The 26,708-nt window shown below is 42.0% G+C and overlaps 1 protein-coding gene, 1 long non-coding RNA gene and 1 pseudogene across 6 annotated transcripts, besides 3 other annotated features; 2 read left to right on the top strand and 1 right to left on the bottom strand.

The window, feature by feature from the left end:
- On the top strand, positions 108-14,117 carry LOC105377056 (uncharacterized). The gene is made up of 3 exons (XR_940788.4): positions 108-842; positions 3,764-3,955; positions 13,797-14,117. It is a non-coding gene; the product is annotated as an uncharacterized LOC105377056 (long non-coding RNA).
- Positions 119-188: an enhancer, noted in NCBI's record as "active region_19770". NCBI's record gives its function as "activates an Ori minimal core promoter by ATAC-STARR-seq in GM12878 lymphoblastoid cells {active_cell/tissue: GM12878}" and the evidence as "EXISTENCE:reporter gene assay evidence [ECO:0000049][PMID:35858748]".
- Positions 5,803-16,974, bottom strand: ZNF502 (zinc finger protein 502). Of its 5 annotated transcripts, NM_001282880.2 has the most exons (5): positions 16,894-16,974; positions 14,946-15,043; positions 12,080-12,202; positions 9,318-9,431; positions 5,803-8,761 (listed from the first exon to the last, which is right to left on the bottom strand). In NM_001282880.2, the coding sequence occupies exons 4-5, from the start codon at positions 9,370-9,372 to the stop codon at positions 7,182-7,184; spliced, it is 1,635 nt and encodes a 544-aa protein (NP_001269809.1). In that variant the 5' UTR covers positions 9,373-9,431; positions 12,080-12,202; positions 14,946-15,043; positions 16,894-16,974; the 3' UTR covers positions 5,803-7,181. The 5 variants fall into 5 exon arrangements, with proteins under 5 accessions (NP_001269809.1, NP_149987.2, NP_001127912.1 ...); NM_033210.5 differs by lacking the exon at positions 12,080-12,202 and having other exon boundaries at positions 16,890-16,974; NM_001134440.2 differs by lacking the exon at positions 12,080-12,202.
- Positions 8,299-9,498: an enhancer, noted in NCBI's record as "CDK7 strongly-dependent group 2 enhancer chr3:44761628-44762827 (GRCh37/hg19 assembly coordinates)". NCBI's record gives its function as "activates an origin of replication core promoter dependent on BRD2, BRD4, P300/CBP, MED14 and CDK7 cofactors, with strong dependence on CDK7, by STARR-seq in HCT116 cells {active_cell/tissue: HCT116}" and the evidence as "EXISTENCE:reporter gene assay evidence [ECO:0000049][PMID:35650434]".
- On the top strand, positions 18,735-20,309 carry SOCS5P3 (suppressor of cytokine signaling 5 pseudogene 3; annotated as a pseudogene).
- Positions 25,968-26,175: a silencer, noted in NCBI's record as "fragment chr3:44744951-44745158 (GRCh37/hg19 assembly coordinates)". NCBI's record gives its function as "represses an EF-1alpha promoter that drives an FKBP-Casp9 reporter gene in an ReSE screen in HepG2 liver carcinoma cells {active_cell/tissue: HepG2}" and the evidence as "EXISTENCE:reporter gene assay evidence [ECO:0000049][PMID:32094911]".

Genomic DNA, 26,708 nt, shown 5'->3' with positions numbered 1-26,708 from the left:
AGTCCCGGACGCGCCCAGCCGGCGTGACGTCAGCAGTCCGCGCCTCGGCTAATAACCACTACCGTCTCCTCTCTAGGAAGGTGGGAGCGGCTTCCGCTCGGTGGTTCCTTCCCGCACGCAGCTACGGGTTTCGGTGCTGCGCCGGTTAAGCCGGCACCAGAAACAACCTGCGACCCCACCTGGCGTGCGTCTTCCAGCACAGGGAAACGGGATGGAAGTCAGAAGGGTCGACCACAAGGAGCTCTTACTGTGCATCAGTTCATCCTGCAAGTCCGCCACATTTAGCTTCCTATGTTACTGTCCTTTGGGGATTCTCAAGGCTTTTCACAAAACTGGCTTCCACCTTCCTCACACACATCCTCATCTGGAAGAAAACTGACCTCTTCACAGAAACCCCTGACACCTTACTGACCCAGGATCTTTGTTCAGGTGGCCAAAAGAAAAAGTTCTGCAGGCCAGGCGCGGTGGCTCACTCCTGTAATCCCAGCACTTTGGGAGGCCGAGGCGGGCGGATCACCTGAGGTCAGGAGTTCAAGACCAGCCTGCCCAACATGGAGAAACCCTGTCTCTACTAAAAATACAAAAATCAGCCGGGTGTGCTGGTGGGCGCCTGTAATTCCAGCTACTCCGGAGGCTGAGGCGCGAGAATCACTTGAACCTGGGAGGGGGAGGTTGCAGTGAGCAGAGACTGAGCCACTGCACTCCAGCTTGGGTGATAGAGTGAGACTCTGTCTCAAAAACAAAACAAAACAAATCAAACACTGCTTTGGGCTCAAATCCCTGATTCTCAGTGTATGAACTTTGCAACTTTACCTCTCTGTGCCTGCTTCCTCACTTACCAGGTATAATAATGGTACCACAGGGTTGTTGTGAGGATTAAGTGAGGTTAATACGTGTGAATTACTAAGAACATCTAGTATTTTTTAAATCTTCAGTAAATGTTAGGACTATTGTCTGTGTCTCAAATCCCAGCTCCAGTACCTATTGTTCTGCCCTGACTTCACTGACCTTTCAGGGCCTCAAGGTAGCACACCCATCCCTTTCTACAAAACTTCAGATCTTGCTGGCTCTAACTCAGGAAATATTTGCACACATGGGCTCATCTTGACAGGTAAAGTCCAGAGATAAAGGCATGAGTGGAGAGTACCTTATTCACTTCCAAGCATTCCTACTGATCTGCAATCTCAGGACAATAGGGCTGTGTGCACACCATCATATCCCTAGTGTGCAGCATATAGAAGTGAACACTTGCTGTATAAATTAATGAGATGCAGCAGAGAAATTATCCATTCCAGGCCAGGCATGGTGGCTCACACCTGTAATCCCAGCACTTTGGGAGGCCATGGGGGGCGGATCACGAGGTCAGGAGTTTGAGACCAGCCTGACCAACATGGCGAAACCCCGTCTCTACTAAAGATACAAAAATTAGCCGGGCGTGGTGGTGTGCCCCTGTAATCCCAGCTACTCAGGAGGGTGAGGCAGGAGAATCACTTGAACCTGGGAGGCGGACTTGCAGTGAGCCGAGATCATGCCACTGCACTCCAGCCTGGGTGACAGAGCCAGACTCCATCTTAAAAAAAAAAAAAAATATCCATTCCAATCTTCAGATTGGCTGTTTTCCCAAAATGGAGTCCCTTTTGGACACAAATCAGGAATGCTGGTGCCACAGACTGAGGCCATCGCTATCTTTGGCTAAAAAGTGACCCTTTGTAAAATTGTCAGTTGACATGCCATGTAACAATAATGTTAAGTTTCCCTCTCCAGGTGTCACATTCTCAGCACTTCTTTGGAATCAGATAGCAAGTTCTTCCCTCCAGCCCTAACATCTCACAGGCCAGAGACCCTAGGTCTAATTATTCATTCCCCAAACATTAGGCTTCAAAGAGTCTCCAAATCAGCAGGGTGTAGTGTGTGGAGGACATTAAGTCTGGAGGGAGGCACCTGAGGTTACTAGAAACCGTAATCTGGAGTTTAATAGCAGTTTGGGCTGAGCTTCTTTCAATGAGGTGGAAAACGGATGGTAGGGATGGACACCAAAAACGTTCCAAAACACTAAAATAACCTTAGCCCTGATGTGGCCACTGGATAAATGAAACTAATGCCACATATCGTCAAGATTAGGTTTCTACCTTATGTAGAAAGTAGGGGTCAAAAGGTATCATCAACTTACTTGTCACCCTCACACTCAGGAAAGTCTGAGATTTTGAGAACAAAAAGCTTCTCAATCTTATACAAGTGAGCTCCTCACATCCTCAGGATAAGGAAAAGATTGGAGCACTAAGTGGTCAATTCTAGGCTGGATGCAGTGGCTCAGGCCTGTAAGGGAGTCCGAGTTAGGAGGATCATCTGAGGGCAGGAGTTAGAGATGAGCCTGGGTAACATAGCAAGAATCTGTCTGTACCAAAAAATAATATTAAAAAACTTTTTTTTGAGACAGACTCTCACTCTGTCACCCAGGCTGGAGTGCAGTGGCATGATCTTGGCTCACTGCAACCTCTGCCTCCTGGGTTCAAGCAATTCTCCTGCCTCAGTCTCCTTAGTAGCTGGGATTACAGGCACGCGCCACCATGCCTGGCTAATTTTCATATTTTTAGTAGAGACGGGGTTTCACCATGTTGGTCAGGCTGGTCTCAAACTCCTGACCTTGTGATCCGCCTGCCTTGGCCTCCCAAAGTGCTGGGATTACAGGCGTGAGCCACCGCACCCGGCCAGAGAATACTTTTTAAAAATTAGCCAGGCATGGTAGCTCACGCCTGTAGTCCCAACTGCTTGGGAGGCTGAGGTGAGAGAATCGCTTGAGCCTGGGAGGTCTAGGCTACAGTGAGCTAGGATCACGCTACTGCACTCCAGCCTGGGCAACAGACCGAAACCATCTCAGAAACAAAAAAAAGTAGTCAGTTCTATAAAAAATAAAGAGGCATATGGAATAGAGGTATGACCAATACAGGGAAAAGTAAATGAAATGCAAGGACACTGCAGTTTAAACCTCATCTGACACTGGTTGTGTGGTCTTGAGCAACCCCAACATCTTTTCTCTTTTGTTCTGAGGATCTGACGTGGCTCCATCTGTGTCCTTCTAAAGTCATGAATTAAATTTCAGTGCACAATAAGCAAGACACTCAAATTCTTTATCATCCCAGGGCCCAAAATCTCAGGAAGTGCTTCCACTTTGGTACTTTTTTTTTTTTTTTTTTTTTTTTTTTTTTTTTTTTTAAGAGAGAGGGTCTCACTCTCTGATACGCAGGCTAGAGTGCAGTGGCATGATGCTAGCTCACTGCAGCTCCCAACACCTGGGCTCAAGCGATCCTTCCACCTCAGGCTCAGCATCCAGAATAGCTAGGACTACAGGCATGCACCACCATACCTGGTTTATTTATTTATTTATTTATTTATTTATTTATTTTTTTTAGACAAGGTCTTGTTATGTTCCACAGGATGCTCTTGAACTCCTGGCCTGAATCAATCCTCCCACCTCAGACTCCTGAGTAGTTGGGATTACAGGTGCAAGCCACCATGCCTGGCCCAGTTTGGGATTTGTAAACTGCAAATGCCCTCCTGCTAGGCCAGCATTACTCTTCAGTTCCTGCTATTTCATAGGTATTCCAGTTGACACAGGTGTGTTTCTGCAGTTGCATGCATTTTCCTCCTGTTGACCCTGACATCAATATAATTGAAAGCGTTTAGTTAAATTGTGATAGGACTTTTAAATCTCTAATTGAAAAATATTGTTTCTTATGGGATCTTCTGTTTAATACAATCTTAGGGAAAGTTTCAGAACTGTTGCTCCTGGCAGACACTTCGTGGACACGCATACTCACCATGCCTCCTTCCTGCTGACAACTGGGGACTTAAGTCACAACCTGCAGACTAGCACAGAGAAATGTCTGACTCTTCAGTTGAGTTCAACAAATGCTTATTGAGCACCTCCTAAGTACCAGGCACTGTTGATACAAAGGTAAAGAAATTTCACATTGTTCCTTCCCTAGCAAAGCTGACAAAGGGAAAGATGTGTGAACAAACCATTATAATGTAACATAATAAAATGATGAAAAATACAAGACAGAATAAAAAATACATGAGGTTAGAGACAGCTTTGAGATATTGCCTGAGCACACTCGTAAGTGAAAAATGGGAGTTTTGCAGGCAAGCAGAAGCAGGGAAAAGGAACTGAGGCAATAGGAACACTATGTGCGGAAGTGCCAAAATAGAGTCCAGAGGTGATATTCCAGAATCACAGGAATTTGAACTATGGAATAGAACATGCCAGGCAAGGAATGGCAGCTAAGGATGGCAATTCAGGCATGGGTCAGATGAGGGGCCTCACCTGCCTCTTTAAAGGACTAGTGCTTTATTCCGAAAACAATAAGCAGCCAGTTATGCTTATAAAGATCAAGAAGAAATGTGAAAGATGGCCTAGTGGGGCAAGAAACTGGAAGACTGGTAGATAAATTTTAAAATAGGAAGTCCAGGCACAGTGGCTTATGCCTATAATCCCAGCACTTTGGGTGGCTGAGGCAGGCAGATTGCTTGAGCCCAGGAGTCCGAGACCAGCCTGAGCAACATGGTGAAACCCATCACTACAAAAAAATATAAAAATTAGCCAAGGATAGTGGCACATGCCTGTAGTCCCAGCTATTTGGGAGGCTGAAATGGGAGGATCGCTTGAGCCTGGGAGGTGGGGGTTTGCAGTAAGCAGAGACCATGCCATTGCATTCCAGCCTGGACAACAGAGTGAGATCCTGTCTCAAAAAAAAAAAATTAAAATTAAAAATAAAATAGTCTAGAAAATAAATTAGGGAGTAGGGGACTGGACTACAATAACTGCAGTGGAGATGGCTTCCAGAGATAGGAGATAACTTCAACAGGACATAGTGGTTGAATGGATATGAAGATTGAATAAGAGGGAAAACTGAGGGTGAGGGCAATGACTAGGTTTGGGGCCATGCTGGAGAGACTAGGTACATCATGGGCCAGCAACTGAGAGAAAATCGGGAGCACATAAGTCCAAGTGTAAGAATATGGGGTCAGGGTAGTGGAAAGAACAGTTATTTAACTGTTTCCCCAGAAGGTAAAAACATGCCATATTTTCTCAGCCTGAGAAAAATTCAGGATCAAGTCTGTTTCACTTGAGAAAATCTTTCCCACAAGAACTTATGGATATCATTTTTTTTTTTTTTTCTAGAAAAAGTCTCACTCTGTCTCCCAGGCTGGAGTGCACAGGCACAATCTCGGCTGGCTGCAGCCTCCACCTCCCAGGTTCAAGTGATTCTTGTGCCTCAGCCTCCTGAGATATCTTTAAAGTTTTCTTGTTTCTTTCTTAAGAAAACTCTCCCTATTCTAATCTCCACTCATAATTCTCAAGATGGTGTACAAATATTGCTATAAATAACTATTCATCAGGAAGTTCCAAGAAAGGTTCTGTTGGGCAATAGTTGATATAACTCATGAAATAAATATTTACTGAACATGTATTATGTGCCAGTAATTAATTATGCAGTTTTTATCTAGGAGGTATAAATACATTTTTGCTTTTGGTAAAATAATATTTTCACAAACATATTTAGAAAGGTTTTACAGCATTATTTTTACCCATAGTGTATTAATTTTCTCAATTATGACTTCACTGGTGGTAGGTTTTAAGAACATAATCTTCATAGAAAGTGAAAAAGATATATATTTATACCATACTCCCATTAATGGTAATTCATGGCCCAAACCTATCCCTACAAGGCAACTGCTCTAGAAAAAAAAAAAAAAAACAAAAACAAAAAAAAAAAACGATGAGTTCCAAATAACCAAGCATTCCAGAATCAACTTAGTGTTTTTAATAGCCATACTTTAAAAATGCTATAAGCTTCACAGCTTAGAAATTATTTTAAATACCAATCAAAGGCTATCCTCAATCTTCTGAAGCTCAATTTCTGGGTAGCAGTTAAGAACATGAAAGGAATTTGGGAAATAAAGGGAAAACTATGTCATTTCTCTCAAAAGAATAAAACACTGTCACAGTCAGTAGCAAAATGTGCTATCCTGATTTTCAGGGATTTGAAAAAGATTCTTTTAGAAGTCTTTCCAAAGTCATTCCACGACAAATGTCAACTTTCTTAAGAGCCCCAATGTCCAACCAAGTGAAAATTCTTTCTTCTTTCATTACTAATGCTTTCTCCTAAAGACCAACAAACTAAGTACCATTTTGTTAGGACATTGTTAGTCCTAGTGTGTCTCTCTCCTCTGGTCTCTGTACACCAACAGCCTAGGCAAACTTACAATAGACAGGTGTACACCTTAGTACAGGCAGGGTTATGTAGGTGACTTGCTCAGTCACATGCAGGCTTCCTGTTCTGAGTCTTATCACTCTAGCAGACCATTTCTTTCCTGGGTAACCATATTTCCTCTGAGATAGATATTGAGTCTTCCTGGTTCTCTGAACAGGTATGACTGCCTCCCCATAAACCAGTATCATGAATTCTAACTTGGTCTCCTATTTCATTCTTAGCTCTGAGTCACCTCAAAGCTTGGAAGAATCAGGAAAGACCTTCACCCTGATAATGAAAGAAAGCCTTCTTTACTGGCAGATCTATAGAGGTCAGCCCAGTTGTTGCTTTATATCTCATTTTTTTAATGAATGGATATGGATTTTTTTTTTTTTTTTTTTTGGCTCTTACTTGTTTCTGTCTCCTTTTCACAGGACCACTTCCACAGGTTGGGAGCCTCCCCCATGGTAGCATGGTCAGGGCTGCCTCAAATCTGGAGGCTAGACTTAGCACTACATCAGAGCTGTGCCACTTCACACTGACAGGCAGTGTTTAAGAAAAACATCTCAACCTGCCAGCCAACGAAAATGGGTGACAAGTCAGAATGTGGGGCAGGATGTAGTAAAGTGAACAGAAGTGCTAACAAATGCCTCCTCAAGCTGTAAGAGTCACATGGGGAGACAGTGGCAATGTGTAGGCTTTATCTGAAAAGCAGGAATTTCTTTCTACCCTGTATTCCCAGATGCCCACCTCAAGTAGGCTCTGCATTCCCTAAGCTCCCACCTCCATTTCTGGAAACATTCCTCTCAGAGTACAGTAGCCAAGGCTCCTTCATCCTTCCCTCCAGGAACTCTACCTGCCCCTCTACTCCCAGTCAGATTCGTAGTCATCCTCGCTAGAGAAACTGTCATAACCTAAATGGCAGCATTAGTCACCACTGTGAAGTTTCTGATGTCTGAAAAGGACTGAACTATGTCTGAAGAACTTTCCACACTCAATACACTCATAAGGCTTCTCACCAGTGTGAATTCTGTAATGTTCACTAAGGTGTGCATACTTGCGGAAGGTTTTCTCACACTCACTACATTTATAGAGCTTCTCACCAGTGTGAGTTCTATGATGTTCAGTAAGAGATGAGCTATGAGCAAAGGCTTTCCCACATTCTTTACATTTATAGGGCTTCTCTCCAGTATGAATTCTCATATGCTGAGTGAGGCAGGTGTTCTGATTAAAGCCCTTTCCACATTCATTGCATTTATAGGGTTTTTCTCCAGTGTGACTTCTCTGGTGCCGAATAAGGCAAATGCTCTGAATGAAGGCTTTACCACATTCACTGCATTTGTAGGGTCTCTCCCCTGTATGTATTCTCTGATGTTTAGTGAGTGGGGTGCTCTGAGTAAACGCTTTGCCACATTCTTTACACTTATATGGTTTTTCTCCAGTATGAATTCGCTGGTGTTTAATAAGAGATGGGCTCTGACAAAAGGCTTTGCCACATTCTTTACATTTATAGGGTTTCTCTCCACTATGAATTCTCTGATGCTGAGAGAGGTTTGCCTTTGTTTGGAAAGTTTTCCCACATTCGTCACATTTATGGGGTTTTTCCCCAGTGTGAATTCTCTGATGTTGCGTAAGATTTGAGTGTTTTCGAAAAGAAGAGCCACATTCACTGCATATGTAAGGCTTCTCACCAGTGTGAATTCTCTGATGATGAATAAGGTGTGTATTCTGATTGAATGCCTTCCCACACCTATTGCATTTATAAGGTTTCTCTCCAGTGTGAATTCTCTGGTGTTCAGTGAGATGTGAGTGATTGCGGAAGGAATTCCCACATTCATTGCATTTATAAGGTTTCTCTCCAGTGTGAATTCTTTGATGCTGAGTAAGAAATGATCGACATCGAAATGTTTTCCCACACTGCTCACATCCATATGGTTTCACTCCAGTGTGAATTCTTTGATGTTGAACAAGGAATGAACTACGACTAAAGGCTTTCCCACATTCCTCACATGTGTAGGGTCTCTCTCCAGTATGAGTTCTCTGATGTTGGGTAAGGGATGAGCTCTGAGTAAAGGTTTTTCCACATTCATTACATTTCCAAGATTTTTTCTGTGTGCAGAGAGTTGGACATTTACTTTGGTCTGAAATATCATTGGTTTGTATATTACTTGTTTCCCACTGATGCAGACTCTCTTCTGTAGAAACCCTGAGACGTGTAACAAGGCTTGAGGTCAAAAGCAAGCTTTTCTCAAAATTATATCCTTGACTAATAATTTCAGGGGGTGCTTCTTTGTGGATGAAAGTTATTCTCCCAAAACCTCCTTCCTGGAAAAGGCATGATTCAGCAATCTCCCTAGGAGAGTTTTCCTTCATGCCCTCACATGCATATTTTTCTTCAAATGTAGAATCTTGGTATTCATCCTCTTGGAACCTCTTTACTACTATCCCTGATGAGTCAATTTTACAGACATCCTGCTCCAGAGCAGGCTTGTTCTTGTTTACCCAGCCTGAAAGAAAACAGCAGAATGAATATCTCCTGTACAGGGCAGAGTGAAGGCCCCTGAAACTGTAAGACCTTAACTTTTGGCAGACCTCAGTAATGGCCTATGATGAAGGGCCAGTAACAGCAAGTGTGGCAAGTAAGTTAGAGTTGTAACTGGTAGAAGAGATATGCATTAGGGTAATGTGATCACCATTAACGAGGAACTCCCATGGAAGGGGTAGCTACAGACACCCAAGGAGCAAGAGAATGAGACAATAGAGATAAATGAAAAACAACACCCAACACACAGGCTGAGATTAGGGCAAGACAGGAAACATGAATGGTTTGTATCCAGAGTGGAGAGTGGGAGAATGTAAACAGGAAAATGCTAGAAATGAGAATGATAAAATTAGTACTGGGGAAAAGTTGGCCCCAGACATGTTCACCCACCCCTGTCCCCAACATCCCTATAAGAGACAGTTATTTTATCTCCTGAGCCTCACCCAGCTTGTCCTCTAAAATTTCCAAAGGCTTCCTATTGGCTGACTATTTCTCCCACTGCTTGTCCCTTGCTCACTCACCTGGACAAGTCTCTCTTCTAATGTCTCTCTCTTCAGCTCCTTGCATATTCAACATCCACAGATCGTCTCTTCGCTTTGATTGGAAAACACTTCAGGTCTGGAAAACTGGGAACCCTGCTCATGGGGAGAAAAGGTGCAGGGAGGGAGGGAATATTACTGTCCCAGTAAACAGAACGAAAACAAAGAGCTGTTGCCTAGGGACACTATCTAATAACACACACAATAACTCTCAGGATAACAATGTGGAAGCATCCGCAAAAATCAGCATTGGCTTGTAGCCTCCTAGGTTCACACCCCATTTGCCAGCTGTTCAAGAAGTGGTAACATCAGACTAACATACTATCAAATATTTAAGCACTTGATAAGTAAATCAGAATGTTATTCATTACCTTTTTATAATTATAAAGATTAAACGAATAGGAATATTCACATCAATTAGTACACTCTGGCCATCATACAATAATCTATATGAAAAGCCAGTTAATATAGTTAAAAGTTGTATAGCAAAATGTCCTCATAGCAAAGCTTGTGCATTAAGTCTGATTTACCCACTTCTACCAAATGCCAAGGAGCTGAGATAGTGTTAGGGAATGCTATCTACTTGATACAAACTAGAGACACACTGATTGTCCCTTCTTCAAGATGTCATATCAATTAAACAGTTTTTCTTCAGGTATAGCTCAGTGTCAGAGAACAGGCTGCAGTTAAAAAGAAACAGAAATAAATTTAACTGTGAAATAAGTTTTGACTTACAAAAAAGTTGCAAAAATACCAGTTTCTGTAAATGCTGCTTCTTAAAAATATCAATACCAAAACTGTTCACTCAAAAATATCTCTCCATTTAACCTTGAAGTGAGAAGCAGAACTGGCAGCATTATTCAAGGAAAAAGGGAAGATCCAGATATGATTTTACCAGAGTCAAGAACTTGGAAGACATGAAAGAATAAAATAAGTCTGCTCAAGTACATAATAAGCTTGGTCTTGTGGACTTCTTAGTGAAGTCTGTGCTTCTGCATTGAGTTTTAAAGATTTAAGAAGATCCTTGGCCTGGAGCAGTGGCTTACGCCTGTAATCCCAGCACTTTGGGAGGCTGAGGCAGGCGGATCACCTGAGGTCAGGAGTTTGAGACCAGCCTGGCCAACATGGAGAAACCCTGTCTCTATAAGAATACAAAAATTAGTTGGGCATGATGGCAGGTGCCTGTAATCCCAGCTACTCGGGAGAATGAGGCGGGAGAATCACTTGAACCCAGGAAGCAGATGCTGCAGTAAGCTGAGATTGCGCCATTGCACTCCAGCCTGGGCGACAGAGCAAGACTCCATCTCAAAAAAAAAAAAAAAAGAAGATGATCCTACCTGGTTTTCCTGATTCTGATTCTCATTCACAGGAAGAACATAAAGGAACCTGTAAGCTACTATACAATCCTACAGAGACTCAGAGACTCATGCAAGCAGAGTTGCATTTGGGTGACTAATCAGTGCTAGACGCTGGAAAAAGAAGCCAGACACCCTATCTGGCTCCAACTTGTGTCATAGCTGGACAAAGACATTAAATGAATCATTTCAAATATGGGAGTTACAAAACTGCAAGTATGGGGTGCTACAGAATGTAAAGCACAGGGGACCTAATATAGTCTGGGTCCCCTTTAGACGTGTGAAAGGGAAAAGAAGAGAGACAAAATGAACATACAAAAGGAATCAAGCTCAGTACTTTGGAGGAATAAAGGAAACATAGTAATGCCCAAGTATTAAACACCAGAAATGAGACATAAAAGCCTGAGGCAAGCCAGTTCAAACAGAACCCTAAAAAACATTTTAAGGACTTTACCCTAAAGTGAAGAGAAAGCCATAATAAGGATTTGAAACAGTTTGATAGAATACATGACATGATTAGATCCACTGTTTTAAGGAAACATATTCCTCTGTCTACAGCAACAGATAATCTGCGTAGTGGTGAGGAGTGGGAGGGCAAGGTGAAGGCTTGAAGATCCCTTGTGAGGCTATTTCAGTAGTCCAGTATGGGGACTGGATTAAGAGAAAGGTTCAACCAGAATGAATGAATATTGGTGGGAAGGGTGAGAGAGGGAGATGTCAAGGATAATTAGGCAGTTTTGGGAGATGACAGTGATCTTTAGTGACACTGGTACACTGGTCTGGAAAGGAATAAGTTATCTTTAGTCTCAAATATCCAAACAGAAAGTAGAACAGGGCATACACAGCTGAAAGAGAGGAGAGAGGTGTGGCCTGAAGAGTTTTAGACATAAAAAAAGTACTTGAAATCACAGGAGTAACAGATAAAATCTTTAAAGCAATGTGGCTAGGAAAACTCCAACAGTGAGTCTAAACACTTAAAAGATCTCTAATCCCAGCAAGGTGAGGTAGCTCACACTTGTAATCCTAGCACTTTAGGAGGCCAAGGTGGGAAGATCACTTTAGGCCAGAAGTTTGAAACCAGCCTAGGCAACATAGAAAACTTCACCTCTACAAAAAAAAACAAAAATTAAGTTGGGTGTAGTGGTGTGTACCTATAGTCATAGCTACTAAGGCGGGAGGATCACTTGAGTCCAGGAGTTCGAGGCTGCAGTGAGCTATTAATATGATTGCATTGGCCGGGTGTGGTGGCTCATGCCTGTAATCCCAGCACTTTGGGAGGCTGAGGCAGGTGGATTACTTGAAGTTGGAAGTTCGAGACCAGCCTGACCAACATGGAGAAACCCTGTCTCTACTAAAAATACAAAATTAGCCAGGCATGGTGGCACATGCCTGTAATCCCAGCTACTTGGGAGGCTGAGGCAGAAGAATCCCTTGTACCCGGGAGGCGGAGGTTGTGGTGAGGATGGATCGTGTCATTGCACTCCAGCCTGGGCGACAAGAGCGAAACTCCATCTCAAAAAAAAAAAAAAAAAAAAAAAGATTGCATCACTTCACTCCAGCCTGGGCAACAAAACAAGATCCTGTCTCAAAAATAAATTAATTAAATAAAATATCTCTAATCCTCTAAGAGATGTAAATAAAAATAATTTAATATATGATAAAAGCAGCATTTCTAATCACAAAAAGATAGATAATTCATAAATCAAGTTGGCACCATTGCTAACTACCTGGAAAAAAAAGTGCGATTACTATATCATGCCACACACCAAAATAAACCCAAACCAATTAAAGGGTTAAATAAAAAAAGTAAAACCACAAAATAAAGTATGACCAATAATTCATTCTAGGGTTAGCACTTTCAAGCATGATGCAAAATGGATAGGACAAAAATTGATAAATCTGACCACATAAAAACAATACTCTGTATATCCAAAATACAAAGAAAATGAAGAAAAACAAGCTTTAAAAAAGTATTTTTCAGTTATATATCAAGGGATAGACAGACCTAATAAAGACTTCTTACAAATGAGTAAGAAAAAAAGATGAACTGAGAGAAAAATGGAAAATACAAAAAATACACCAAGAATTACAACAGGCCAGTAAACATATCAAAACAATGTTCCATCTTTATGGTAAACAAGGAAATGGAAACTGAAAGAATGAAGAATCAATTTTTACATCAAACTGGAAAATCTATCTTTAATGCTACACTCAAGATTCACAAAGGTACAGGGAGTTTCTCACATACCGGTGCGAATGTAAGTTGGTACCATCTTTCTGGAGCTAATCTGGCAATATACATCAGGTGTGAAAGTTGTAGCTTCAGTTATAGTTAGGATGCTGTGATCAACATTTTGTGGATACAGGAATTCAGAACAGAATGCTCATTTTGTATATACACCACCTGTAGTGTACCTCAGAGTCATCAGTATGCCATAAAAAATGACTATATTCGGCTGGGCGCAGTGGCTCACACCTGTAATCCCAGCAGTCTGGGAGGCCAAGGCAGGTGGATCACCTGAGGTCAGGAGTTCGAGACCAGCCTGCCCAACATGGTGAAACCACGTCTCTACTAAAAAATACAAAAAATTAGCCGGGCGCAGTGGCAGGCACCTGTAATCTCAGCTACTCAGGAGGCTGAGGCAGGAGAATTGCTTGAACCCAGGGGGCAGAGGCTACAGTGAGCCGAGATCACGCCACTGCACTCCAGCTTGGGCGACAAGAGCGAAACTCCGTCTCAAAAAAAAAAAAAAAAGACTATATTCTTTGACCTAGTAATTCTACAAATAGAATTTTCTCAGAAAGAAGTAAATTTCCAGAGAGAAGAGAAACAGAATTCTTCTGTTACTTGTAAAAATATCCCCTGAAATGTACATGGAAATAAAAGTTTTTCTACTGGTGGACACTGAGGATTAGCAAATTATGGTACTTCTAGTTGGTGAAAATTATTTAGGCATTAAGATCATTAAAAATGAAAATATGTGTTTATTGGGAAAAATATTTATGCCATATGTTGAAAAAATCCAGTATAGTAAAATTTCAAGTAGTAATATAATGTAAAATATATGTTTGTTAAAATATACATGTGTCGTGCTTGTGGTTTCAGCTACTCAGGAGGCTGAGGTGGAAGGATCACTTGAACATGGGAGGTAGAGGTCGCAGTGAGCTGTGATAGCACCATTGCATTCCAACCTGGGTGACAGAGTGAGATCCCTCTCAAAAATTAAAAATTAAAAATACATCTGAATAAGATCAAGAAGGAAAAATAATCATCACTGTGGTAAAATAATGAATTGTGAATAATTTCCTCAAATGTCCTCTATTATCTATATTTTGCTCCACTTTAAAAAAAAAACAAATCTATAAGAATATATAACAAATTATTTATTGTGATCATATCTGAAGAATAAAATTATGGTAAACTTTTGCCTTAAGGCCTATCTTTTTGTAATGTTTGAAAATTTTCCCATAGGAATAACTAACTTCTGTAATCAAAGAAAAAGTGAAAAAGCATAATCAGAGATGGCCAGAGATTTATGTACAAAGATCACACTATTACTACAATTGTTAAATAAACAGGCAAATAAACATTGATAGACTAGCAAAGATAGCTTATGAAGGTATCAAAAATCATAATTTCAAAGAATATTCATGAGAAAATATAATATGTTAAAACAGGAAGATACAAAACACTAAAAAACAAGAAATATGCACACATATACTGGCATTAAGCACTCAATAAACAGAAACTATTGTTAATAAACAGATAAAACACACACATTTAAAAAAGACATAAAGAAAACCCACCAAAATATTAACACATTTATCTCTAGGTCAGTTAATGGGTCACTTTAGTTTGTCCTTTATACTCTTCTATATTTTTACTTCTCCTTCAATAAACATATATTACTTTTATAGGTAGAAAAAGTTACTTTTTAAAAACCCAGAAACAAAAACAAAAACAAAATGCCAGATCCAATGGCTATGGTATTGGCCTCCCATTCACAAGATGATAGTAGACTGGATTGGGACTCAGGAAAGTTTGCTCTGCCAATAGCCCATGTGAGTGGGCCTACATGACAGGCTATTTATCTGAAAAGGGTGACAAATTAGACAATATTTACGGGTCATTCCAGCTCTGATAATCTGTGAATCCTTGATGAGTTAATTCACATAAAGCATTCAAAAAGATATCTACTCGATGGCAGGCACTCAACAGGGGTTAGATGCTATTATGGTTGATACTAAAACCTACGGAGAAAGAAAGACATCTTGGTGATGACCACATCCTTCCAATCATGGATCATCTGAGCTGTCAGCAGTTTGTCAATGTCAAGGGTCAGCAAACATTTTCTGTAACAGGCCAGAAAGCAATTTTTTTTAGGTTTAATGGGTTAAATGGAAAATATAGTCTCTGTCTCAACTATTCAACTTTGCCTTTGTAGTCTGAAAACAGAAACAGACAATATGTACTGAATGAGCTTGCCTGTGTTTTAATAAAACAGTTTTACCAAAAAAAGTGGCAGACCAAATTTGGTCCATATTTGCTGACTCCTAGGTCTATAAGTTGCCCAGAAAGTAATGTACAGGTGCTTCTACAAATGCCTATTGTGGAATAATCTGGCTGTTAGTGATTTTAAGATGCTAAAAAGATCCCTCTGCAGATCTGGGGAAAGCTGAGTATTATGGTGAAAGGTAAAAAGGAAACAGGCTCTTAATAGCCCTATCCTGCTAACCTATTAGAGAGCTGGCTTCCTCCCTCTACCTTGTAAGCTTTTCCCCAGATGCCACCTCCTTACCCCTCAATAATTAGCTAAAAGAATCTAAGCAAGCTAGATGAAGTTTTTCAAGAATTTTTAACAATCCCTCCAACGAGACCACATTGAAATGTACTCCTCTCTGAAGCCCTTCTTGGTCTGCATTTTGGCACCAAACAGTGCACTCACCCAAGCTGTGGCAGTACACTTTATCTCTTATGCAGCCTTGGGTCACTTAGCAATGTGATCTGGGACAAGTTTTCTGTTCTCTCTGTACCTCAGTTCCCTCACTTAAAAACTACACATAGGCCTGGCGCGGTGTTTCACGCCTATAATCCCAGAACTTTGGGAGGCCAAGGCGGGTGGATCACTTGAGGTTGGGAGTTCGCGACCAGCCTGACCAACACTGTGAAACCCCGTTTCTACTAAAAATACAAAATTAGCCAGGTGTGGTGGCGCATGCCTGTAATCCCAGCTACTCGGGAGGCTGAGGCAGGAGAATCGCTTGAACCCGGGAGGCAGAGGTTGTGGTGAGCCCAGATCACCCCGTTGCACTCCAGCCTGGGCAACAAGAGTGAAATCCCGTCTCAAAAAAAAAAACAAACCAAAAACCAAAAAACAAAACTGTACACGCAATACGCTGTTGTGAAGATTAAATCAATTAGCACAAATGCTTCAAATAGTGCCTGGTATACAGTAAGTGCTAAATAAATGTAGTTTAAAATATTACCACCAAAATCTGCTTATGCCCTTATCGTCCTAAACAAGACTGGAAGCATCTTTACATGTGGCAGTCTCCGATGTCACTCTTTTGTAGCCTAGCCACTAAATTCGGGGTAATGTTTGGCATATAATGGATAGTAATCCTTCATTGGGAGGCATTAAGGTTTGCATACATGCTATCACATACAAGCTGTCAACTGAGCTTTGTGAAGAAGCAAGGAACAGACTTCTAGACAGTACTTTAGAGATTTCTGTACCCTCCAGAATTGTAACTCAGGTCTCAAGACTCCCAACGAGTGCACTTTACGCTATTTGCCGTCTCCTATAAAAACAGGCTCTAAACAAGTTTCGGAGCTACAGGATCAGCCGGGGGAAGAAACTGGTATCTGATCCCCAGGACCTCGTTTCCTGACATGGGTCCTAGGTCTGTCTTGATCATCTATCCATCACTCATTCACTCATTCATTCATTCACTCCGCCATTTTCCTAGGCATCTCCTCTGTGCCGGGCACTGTGCTGGGCCTTGGAGTCTGCAGTGCTGAGGCTGCAGGCTGGGCGGGCCGAGCCGCTAGGAGTGCCCTACGTCCGGGCAGCACGCGTAGGCAGCAACGTGGAGAGGACCGAGGCCGGGGCTGACTTCCCAGATAACCCTCCAGCCCGCCGCCCCAGCAATGGCTCGCCGGGGTCCTCTCTTTTCCCCTCCCTGGGTCCCAACTCGCTCACTGTGAGATCCACGGACTCTCCGCGGAGCGGCGCAGGCGCTCCCAGAGGTGGACTGGGGCCAGGACACCAGCCTTAACTTCTGAAACCGGAAGAATGGTGGCGCGGCCGGTAGTGCGTCAGCAGCGAGCTCGCGCATCCATTCTCTGATTCTCTAGGAAGCGGGAGGAACATCTCTATGGGACCCTAGAAGAAGGCATTCCCTCCAAACCCAGCCTGTAACTCCAGCTTTGTTTCCCGCCAAGCCCAGCCTGTAACTCCAGCCTTGCTTCCCGTCAAGCCCAGTCGCGTTCCTGATATCCCATTAACAACTATCTTGGCCTGAAACACAGTGGCTACCTCAACCCTCAGGAAAACTGTAGAGGGAGACGTTAGGGATGGAAAGGATGCTGGGTAGGAGCCGGAATGGGCCATCTCAACAAGAAACTAGTATATTCTACCTGCTTAAAATAGTCTCTATTAAGAACCTTGAGTGATCCCCTGTTATGTTAGAATAAAGGACAAACTCCCAATCTAGGCCCACACAAACTGACCTCAATATCAACATCTCTTATTTGGCTATCATATACATTCTGCTCTAAAGTTACTGAATTCCCATTGGCCCCCTGAAATCCCTTGCCTCTTCCTGACTCTAGATCTTTTTCCCAGGATTTTCCCTTTGGAATACTCTCCCTTCCTTCTACCTGCTCTCCCTAACCTCAGCTATCCAATTTATCCTGGTTCTTCAAATCCCAATGCCAATTCTCACTTGACCACCTAGACTGTTGCCCTTATGGGTCTTTACACTCACATATCACTATTAGTTATTCTAGCTCTAGCTAGCCTTCTATTCAGTGCCCCCCTAAATGCATACACTTGTATTTCTTTCGTAGGTATTGTTAGGAAGATACACACAAGTAGCATCCCACCCAAGGACAACTGTGAAAGACCCAATCAGTTCATTTTTATACAACTCTAATCAGCTATATGGAGCTATTATTTATCATTATATCTCAATGTTTAGCACAATGATTGGTAGAGAAGGCATTCAATAAATACTTGTTGAATTCGTTAATCAGAAACAGGTGAAATTTAGATTATTGGCATTTTTGATAAACTGAAAAATGAGGATACCATAGATTAAATCCAGAAAGCAAGCTCTCTGCACATCTGAAAGGATGTACCACGTAGCTGGCATATTCCCGTTTCTTTGGCTCACTCTATCCAATTGTTATCTCCCTTGGTAGAATGTAAGCTGTATGAAGGCAGGGGCCTTCTCTGTTTCATTCATACTATATCCCTAGCACCTAGAGCATGGCTGACATACTAGGCATTCAATCAGTATTTGATGAATGACTAGGTCACCATCAACTTCCAACAAGTTACAGGAAATAGTTACTCCACATAGATGTATACTGCTTGTTTGAGAGCTAAAACTGCTGGAAAATTATCTTTCTTCCCCCAGATTACCTAAAGTGTACATTCCAGAGATGAATGTTGCTTCCCTGTGAGAAATAGAAACTCCTTCTAAATTATATTTACCTGACCCCCACCAAAAGAGATTATATGAAGGTATTTTCCATTCTGGGCGGCGGGGTCGGGGACGGGTTGAGAGGAGAGGGAAGGGGAAACCGGTGCAGAGGGGGAGGCACCAGGGAAGGTGGTAGGGGCCTGGTGGGGGCATCCGGTGGAGCTGGGGTCCCCAGGCTCAGTCCGGAGGAAGCGAGGCTGCGCTCGCTGGGCAGTCGGAGGGGACGGGACGCACCAGAGGGTGGGTGGACTCGCCCTGTAGGTGACTGCGCCGTCCAGGCCCGTCCTGCCTGGCCTTAGGTGTCCTGGATGAGGCTGCCCCGTGCGCCCCCGATGATTTTATAATCAATGGATAAAGTGGGGAAAATGTGGAATAACTTCAAGTACAGGTGTCAGAATCTCTTCGGTCATGAAGGAGGAAGCTGTAGTGAAAATGTTAACATGAACTCCGACAAATGTCTGTCTGTCAAAGAGAAAAACATCAGCATAGGAGACTCAACTCCTCAGCACCAAAACCGTCCCTTAAGAGAAGATGTTGCCTTACAACTGGGATTAAGCCCTTCAAATAATTCTTCAAAGAGAAATCAAAATTGTGCCACCGAAATTCCTCAAATTGTTGAAATAAGCATCGAAAAGGATAATGATTCTTGTGTTACCCCAGGAACAAGAGTTGCACGAAGAGATTCCTACTCTCGACATGCTCCATGGGGTGCGAGGAAAAAACATTCCTGTTCTACTAAGACCTAGAGTTCATTGGATACTGATCAAATGTTTGTTAGAACTCGAAGTGGACTTCAAAGGAGAGAGAGGCGCTATGGTGTAAGTTCTGTACACGACATGGACAGTGTGTCCAGCAGAACTGTAGGAAGTCGCTCTCTGAGAAAGACGTTGCAGGATACTGTGGGCTTGTGTTTTCCCATGAGAACTTACAGCAAGCAGTCAAAGCCTCTCTCTTCCAATAAAAGAAAAATCCATCTTTCTGAATTAATGCTTGAGAAATGCCCTTTTCCTGCTGGCTCAGATTTAGCCCAAAAATGGCATTTGATTAAACAGCATACAGCTCCTGTGAGCCCACATTCAACATTTTTTGATACACTTGATCCATCTTTGGTTTCTACAGAAGACGAAGAAGTTAGGCTTAGAAAGACAAGACGGCTTAGTATTGAAGAAGGGGTTGATCCCCCGCCCAGTGCACAAGTACATACATTTGAAGCTACTGCACAGGTTAATCCATTATATAAACTGGGACCAAAGTTAGCTCCCGGAATGACTGAAATAAGTGGGGACAGTTCTGCAATTCCACAAGTTAATTGTGACTCGGAAGAGGATACAACCACCCTGTGTTTGCAATCACGGAGGTAGAAGCAGCGTCAGATATCTGGAGACAGCCATACCCATGTTAGCAGACAAGGAGCTTGGAAAGTCCACACACAGATTGATTACATATAGGTCTCGTGCCTGATTTGCTTCAAATTACAGGGAATCCCTGTTACTGGGGAGTGGTGGACCGTTATGAAGCAGAAGCCCTTCTTGAAGGGAAACCTGAAGGCACGTTTTTGCTCAGGGACTCTGCACAAGAGGACTACCGGAAACTCTGTGAGTTTCCGCCTCTACAATAGATCCCTGCATGCCCGAGTTGAGCAGTGGAATCACAACTTTAGTTTCGATGCCATGACCCGTGTATATTTCATTCCTCCACGGTAACTGGACTTTTAGAACATTATAAAGATCTCAGTTAGTGCATGTTTTTTTGAACCATTGCTTGCTATATCACTAAATAGGACTTTTCCTTTTAGCCTGCGGTATATCTGTCGCACAGTAATCTGCAGATGCACTACGTATGATGGAATTGATGGGCTCCCTCTACCCTCAATGTTACAGGACTTTTTAAAAAAGTATCATTATAGAACGGGTGCGGTGGCTCACGCCTGTAATCCCAGCACTTTGGGAGGCCGAGGCGGGAGGATCATGAGGGAAGGAGATCGAGACCATCCTGGCTAACACGGTGAAACCCTACTAAAAATACAAAAAAAAAAACAAACATTAGCCATGTGTGGTGGCGGGGGCCTGTAGTCCCAGCTACTCGGGAGGCTGAGGCAGGAGAATGTTGTGAACCCGGGAGGCGGAGCTTGTAGTGAGCCGAGATTGCTCCACTGCACTCCAGCCTGGGCGACAGAGCGAGACTCCATCTCAAAAAAAAAAAAAAAAAAAAAAAAAAAAAAAAAAGTATCATTATAAACACAAAGTTAGAGTTTGCTGGTTAGAACGAGAACCAGTCAAGGCAGAGTAAACTCTCCTGTCCCCAAAGGGTGTTAACTAGGTCCGCTTTCATGTGCATCAGGCAGTACACCTACAGCAAACACACGTAGCAGTGTTAGGCTTTTTCATACAGTATGTAAGCTTAGTGTTAGTGTCTGTCAGATGCGACCTACTGTTATTTGTTCAGATAAACATGGTGCCTATTGGAACAACAGAGGATAGAGCTACAGGTGTTCAGTAAGACTACAAACACATTTTGCCGATTTCACTAACAATTTGGTTTTTAATGGCTGTAGTATTTGAGTGAGGCAACACTGGGGCATTTGTTATGAAGAATTCTATTTCTTACTGAGGAACAAATTATTAATACTGAATGAGTATTTCAACAGTGTGACTAATGTTTGAAATTATTTTTTCTAAGAGTTTTTCTACAATCTTCCAAACGTAATGATGTTTGTATTTACTATAAATCAAGCTTTGGAAGTCGAAAAAATAAATAAATAAAAGACTGCCTTCATTTTAGAAAAAAATGCAATTTTCTGGCCACAAGGGCATAGTGCAGTTCACTTAACTGTTGATGTAGTTTATAATCAGACGCCTTTTCTCTTCTGCAAAAGGTACTGTTAAGAAAACCAGATTTTCTAAATAGCCATTCTTAAAATTTCAGACTTACAAAGCTAGTAGTAGAATTTTATTGAAAGGCCCTAGGTTTTTTTTTTTTAATGAGTGCTTTAACTTAAAACAGGCATTTGAAATACCTGTTGCAATGCAGTCTTGCGTGTGATTTTTTTTCAGTTGATGTACAGTCTAATTGTTTCATAAAAGTTGGATCTTTTCCTATGTCCAGGATGATTTTGTGAACTATGAAGTACATGAGACTAGAAGATGCCCAAGCAAGTCAGATAATAGTAACTACAATGGTTGCTGGTTGCTGATATTGAGGTTATTGTTGAACTGTAATTAATAATTTGGATGGCAGTATTTATCTCTTTTTTGTAAACTCTCATACCTGAATTGCTTAAGTATAATTTATAGAATTTCAGTGCAGTTAATTCTTTTTTTTTTTTTTGAGACGGAGTCTCTCTCTGTCGCCCAGGCTGGAGTGCAGTGGCGCGATCTCGACTCACTGCAAGCTCTGTCTCCCGGGTTCATGCCATTCTCCTGCCTTAGCTTCCCGAGTAGCTGGGACTACAGGCGCCCGCCACCACGCCCTGCTAATTTTTTGTACTTTTAGTAGAGACGGGGTTTCACCGTGTTGGCCAGTATGGTCTCGATTTCCTGACCTCGTGATCCACCCGCCTCAGCCTCCCAAAGTGCTGGGATTACAGGCGTGAGCCACTGCGCCCAGCCCAGTGCAGTTAATTCTTAATGGAAAATCAGAAACCTAAATTGCAGATTTAAAAGGTACTGTACAGCCATTATATCTGTAAATAACTTAGCACGTTTTTGTCACTTAGAATAATATGTGCTACTACGTGAGTGAGCTCTTTTGGAAGTTATATCAAGTTCTAGTGTTTGTTTCTTAATAACTGAACTGAATTTGCAGTCCTAGACATTTTGCACTAAAGTAGCCGAATCCATTCTTGTGCCTTTTTGTTAATGTGCTCTGTATCACTGGTGAGTGCTTCATAGTTTCCTTACCTGCTGCTACAGAATGTTATTTTACATCTTTATGGCTATCGCCAAGGCTGCAAAAAAGAAAAGCTATATTTGTATACAACACTAACCCTTTGACTGCTAATGTATGTTTTTGCTTGCTGTGCCTTGTTATGACTGCTTTTTTGTGCTAATAAAGTATGTTTGGTGTAAAAAAAGAGATTATATGAAGAATATGCCATAGGGAGGTCGGCTGTTTTTCTATGCAAGATGTAACTATTAGTAAGTTTGCATTTGCTTATCCAATATCCATTCTCCCTTTCTTTCTAACATTCCATCGCCATCTTACAGACAACGGTAACAGGCTTATAGAAGTTAACTCAACCATCCCGGCTAAAACGGTGAAACCCCGTCTCTACTAAAAATACAAAAAATTAGCCGGGCGTAGTGGCGGGCGCCTGTAGTCCCAGCTACTTGGGAGGCTGAGGCAGGAGAATGGCGTGAACCCGGGAGGCGGAGCTTGCAGTGAGCCGAGATCCCGCCACTGCACTCCAGCCTGGGCGACAGAGCGAGACTCCGTCTCAAAAAAAAAAAAAAAAAAAAAGAAGTTAAGTCAACCAGTGTCACACAGTTTGTACATTACAGAATCAGGTCAGAAAGCTAGAACTTTGAATTCCAAGCCCAGTGTCCCTTGAAGGCTACAGCAGACAATCCTCTTTCCTTTTCATCATTTCAGTTGTCCTTGTCTAAATTTTCTCCTTTTTCCCCACACCATCTGTAAGCGAGTCAGAACTATATCCATGAATTTTAGATCCACTGGCCACCAGTTTAGCAAGGATATCATGGCAAGTACTGCAAGTTGCCCACAAAATATCTATTCTCCTCATCCTCCTTATAGCCAAACTGAATTTTGTTCAGAGTGGCACTGTGCCCAGATTTCTCAAGTTCTTTCTCAGCTAAAGCTGGCCATATGATACATCTCTAGCCTAGAACATATAAATGGAGGGCCAGGCATGGTGGCTCATGCCTGTAATCCCAGCAGTTTTGGAGGCCGAGGCAGGCAGATCACCTGAGGTCAGGAGTTCAAGACCAGCCTGACCAACGTGGCAAAACCCCATCTCCACTAAAAGTATAAAAATTAGCTGAGCTAACTGTTGTCCTAGTTACTTGGGAGGCTGAGGCAGGAGAATCGCTTGAACCTGGGAGGCAGAGGTTGCAGTGAGCAGAGAATGTGCCACTGCACTCCAGGCTGGGTAACAGAGCAAGACTCTGTCTCAAAAAAAAAAAAAAAAAAGAAAAAGAAAAAGAAAAAAAAAAGAAAAAGAAAAGAAAAGAAAAAAGGAAAGAAAGAAAATATAAATGGAGAGCTTATAGCTTATAGATGGGCCCTCCAGGAATGTTGCTTTTTTCCTAATTAGAAAGAACAGACTTAATTGGAAAATGTTTTTTGTCCTTTGCACTTTCTCCTTCTCCTTTTCTGGAACACACTTATGAGCCTGCTGATGCAGCAGCCATCTTATAATCAAGAAGTGTCAAGCATGAAACTACTAAACATATTGTAAGGTGGCAGGACTTGAGGAAAAAATGAGCCTGGTTCTGGAGCTGCTATAGCAGCCCTCAACTGCCTCCCCTGGGAACCTTGTTAAATAATAAAAAATAACCTTTGGACTATCCACCAAGTTGGATGCTAAATGCTTTCCCACCTGATTACCTCTCCAAAGGGAATATATAAAAAGGGACATTCTACAGACATGAAAGTTGTGACTTTAGGAGAGCTAAAACTGCTAATAATTCATCTTTCCAATCCAACAGATTATAGGAAATACAAAGTCCATACGAGTGAATTTCCCTTCTTTTCTTTCTTTCTTTTTTCTCTCTATTTTTTTTTTTTTTTTCTGAGATGGACTCTGGCTCTGTCATCCAGGCTGGAGTCTAGTGTCATGATCTTGGCTCCTTGCAATCTCTGCCTCCCAGGTTCAAGTGATTCTCCTGCCTCAGCCTCCTGAGTAGTGGGGATTACAGGAGCACATCACTACACCCGGCTAATTCTTGTATTTTTAGGAAAGACGGAGTATCACCATGTTGGCCAGGCTGGTCTCGAACTCCTGCCCTCAAGTGATCCACCCGCCTTGGCCTCCAAAGTGCTGGGATTACAGGTGTGAACCACTGCACCCAGCCGAATTTCCCTTTTCGGTGAGATACCACTACTGGAAACTCAGTTTTTCACTCCAGCAGATTACATGAAGAAAAGATTGTTTAGAAATATATATTATTAACCTAAGTGATAAATCCTTACTAATAACTCATCTTTCTTCTCCATGAAGGTAACACAATTTACAGAGGCAGTGCAAGATTAAGATTTTTTGAGGCTCTAAATATGAAAAATGCAGTGAGCCACCCGAACTTCATTACACAATTCAAAAGAAAATAACCATACGTTTAAGGAATTCAATCAAGTTTTGAATTTTCTCCTACTTCAAAGCATTATTAAAAATACTAAATTCTTTTTGCTTTTCCTTTTTCTTTGGGTTCCTGCTTGGTTTATAGCCAAAAAACATGCTTGATCTACTTTTTTTTGAGCAGTTAAGCACTGAACACAATGCACTAAGAAGAATATTGCTTTTCTGGGTGAAATGGAATTCTTCACAACTTGGCATTTTTCCCATGAAAGTTGTAAGAGTTACACACTCCACAAAGCTATGTCACTTCTCTGCATGAGACAGAAATACACCTAACTTTATTCCCCTCTGCAGATTATGTAAAGAAAGCAAGGCCCAAAGTTGTATGTTTAATCTCTGACAAACAAGTATTTTTATCTTTGTCTTCTTACATCGGGGTACACGTAGTGCCCAATGCACAGTAGTGTATTATTACCTTTCTCCAGGAAATACAACTGCTGGTAACTCAGATTTCCTCCCCAAGAAAATTATATGAAATGTACAATACAAATGTGTACATTGGGTGACACCTGATTGCGTGAACTACACTCTGTACAGCATTGCACATTGCTTCTCTGGTTGATGGATTGGCAAACTGTAGGTCAAATCCAGCCCATTGCTTGTTTTTCAAAAAAAAGTTTTACTGGAACACAACTATGCTAGTTTATTTCCTTTCTTTCTATTGCTACTTCCACACAACAATGGTGGAATTGAGTAGTTGTGACAGAGATCACATGACTCTCAAAACCTAAACTAATCACTAGCTTTCTGTAAAGGGCCAACCCCTGCTACTGTGAAATCCAAGTTTTGGTAGCTCAGCTGCCCTCCCAAAGCATACTACAGGACACACTCACTACACAGAAATATATGTTGGTTCCTATGCCTAGTCCTTCTAATGGTAACTTTGTTTTCCTTCTTAAAGAAGCAACATAAAGTTTGGTGTAGAGTATATTTAGTGAATTAGTAGTTGCCAAATTCAACAAGCATTTTCTCCCTCTTTTTCTTCCTGTCAAAACCCCATTTTGTTTTGACAAAACATGGCTTCTTCCATGCAGCCATGGTCGTCATGGAAACAACTTAATCCCAACTCCAAAGGGGTCTCTTGATTCACTTAAGAGTAATGCAATTCCCCTTGCCTATGACTGCCTCAGAAATGGGCATATATCAGTTAGCTTTTGCTTCTTAACGAACCACTCCTAAACTTAGTGGCTTAAAATAACAAACATTTATTACTTCTCATAATTCTGTGGGTCATCTAAGTGGTTTTCATATCTGGGCTGGCTCAAAGTCGGTTGTTTAGGACAGCATGGCCTCATTCTCACATCTTGTTGGTTGGTGAGGGTTGGGGTGGGGGGCAGTGCTCAGCTGGGATGTCTTGTTTCTGCTCCACATGGTCACTTGTCCTCCCTCAATCACAGGCTTCTTAACATGGTAGCCTCAGAGTTCCACAGATCAGCAAAAGATGGCAAGCTCCAATGTACAAACACTTTTTAAGTCTCCGCTTACAACAAATTTACTAATGTTTCACTGGCAAAAACAACTCACGTGCTGAGACCATGTTCAAGGGGTAGAGAAATAGACTCTACCACTTAATGGGAAGAGCTGCAAGTGGCATTCCAGAGAGGCGGGGGGAAAATGTATAGTGGTTTTTGTCATCTGTCCAGGATGTATGACCCATTTTGGGCTAGGGAGAGAGAAAGGAGGCACCTGAAAAAGATTTTTTGGCATTCTGAGCAAGCATACAGAAACAGTTCTGTCTTGTAGGGGACAAAATTGTGAGTGGCTATCAGAGACAGAACACCATAATCATGTTGCTCTCTGCCTGGGGATGAAGCCAATACCTAGAGGAGGGCAGAGCAAGAAATTCAAAGTGTAACAGAGCCAGAGTTACTGGCCTTAGCTAACCCTGAAGCCCACCCTCCCTTGGTTGTTCAGTAACCCATACCAAAACATTTCCTTTTTCATTAAGCCATTTTGAGTTGGGCTTTCCATTTATCAAAGATAGCATTCTCTAAA

Source organism: Homo sapiens, chromosome 3, assembly GCF_000001405.40.
Source record: "Homo sapiens chromosome 3, GRCh38.p14 Primary Assembly".
Classification (NCBI taxonomy): Eukaryota; Metazoa; Chordata; class Mammalia; order Primates; family Hominidae; genus Homo; species Homo sapiens.
Note: the sequence above shows the minus strand (reverse complement) of the source record. Positions and strands in the feature narration are given on the sequence as shown.

Bases quoted from the DNA above. Each gene is read 5' to 3' on its own strand.
- ZNF502 (NM_033210.5), bottom strand. From the start codon at position 9,372: ATGTTGAATATGCAAGGAGCTGAAGAGAGAGACATTAGAAGAGAGACT. The intron at 8,762-9,317 runs GTGAGTGAGCAA...GTTTTCTTTCAG, and splicing joins TAGAAGAGAGACTTGTCCAG to GCTGGGTAAACAAGAACAAG.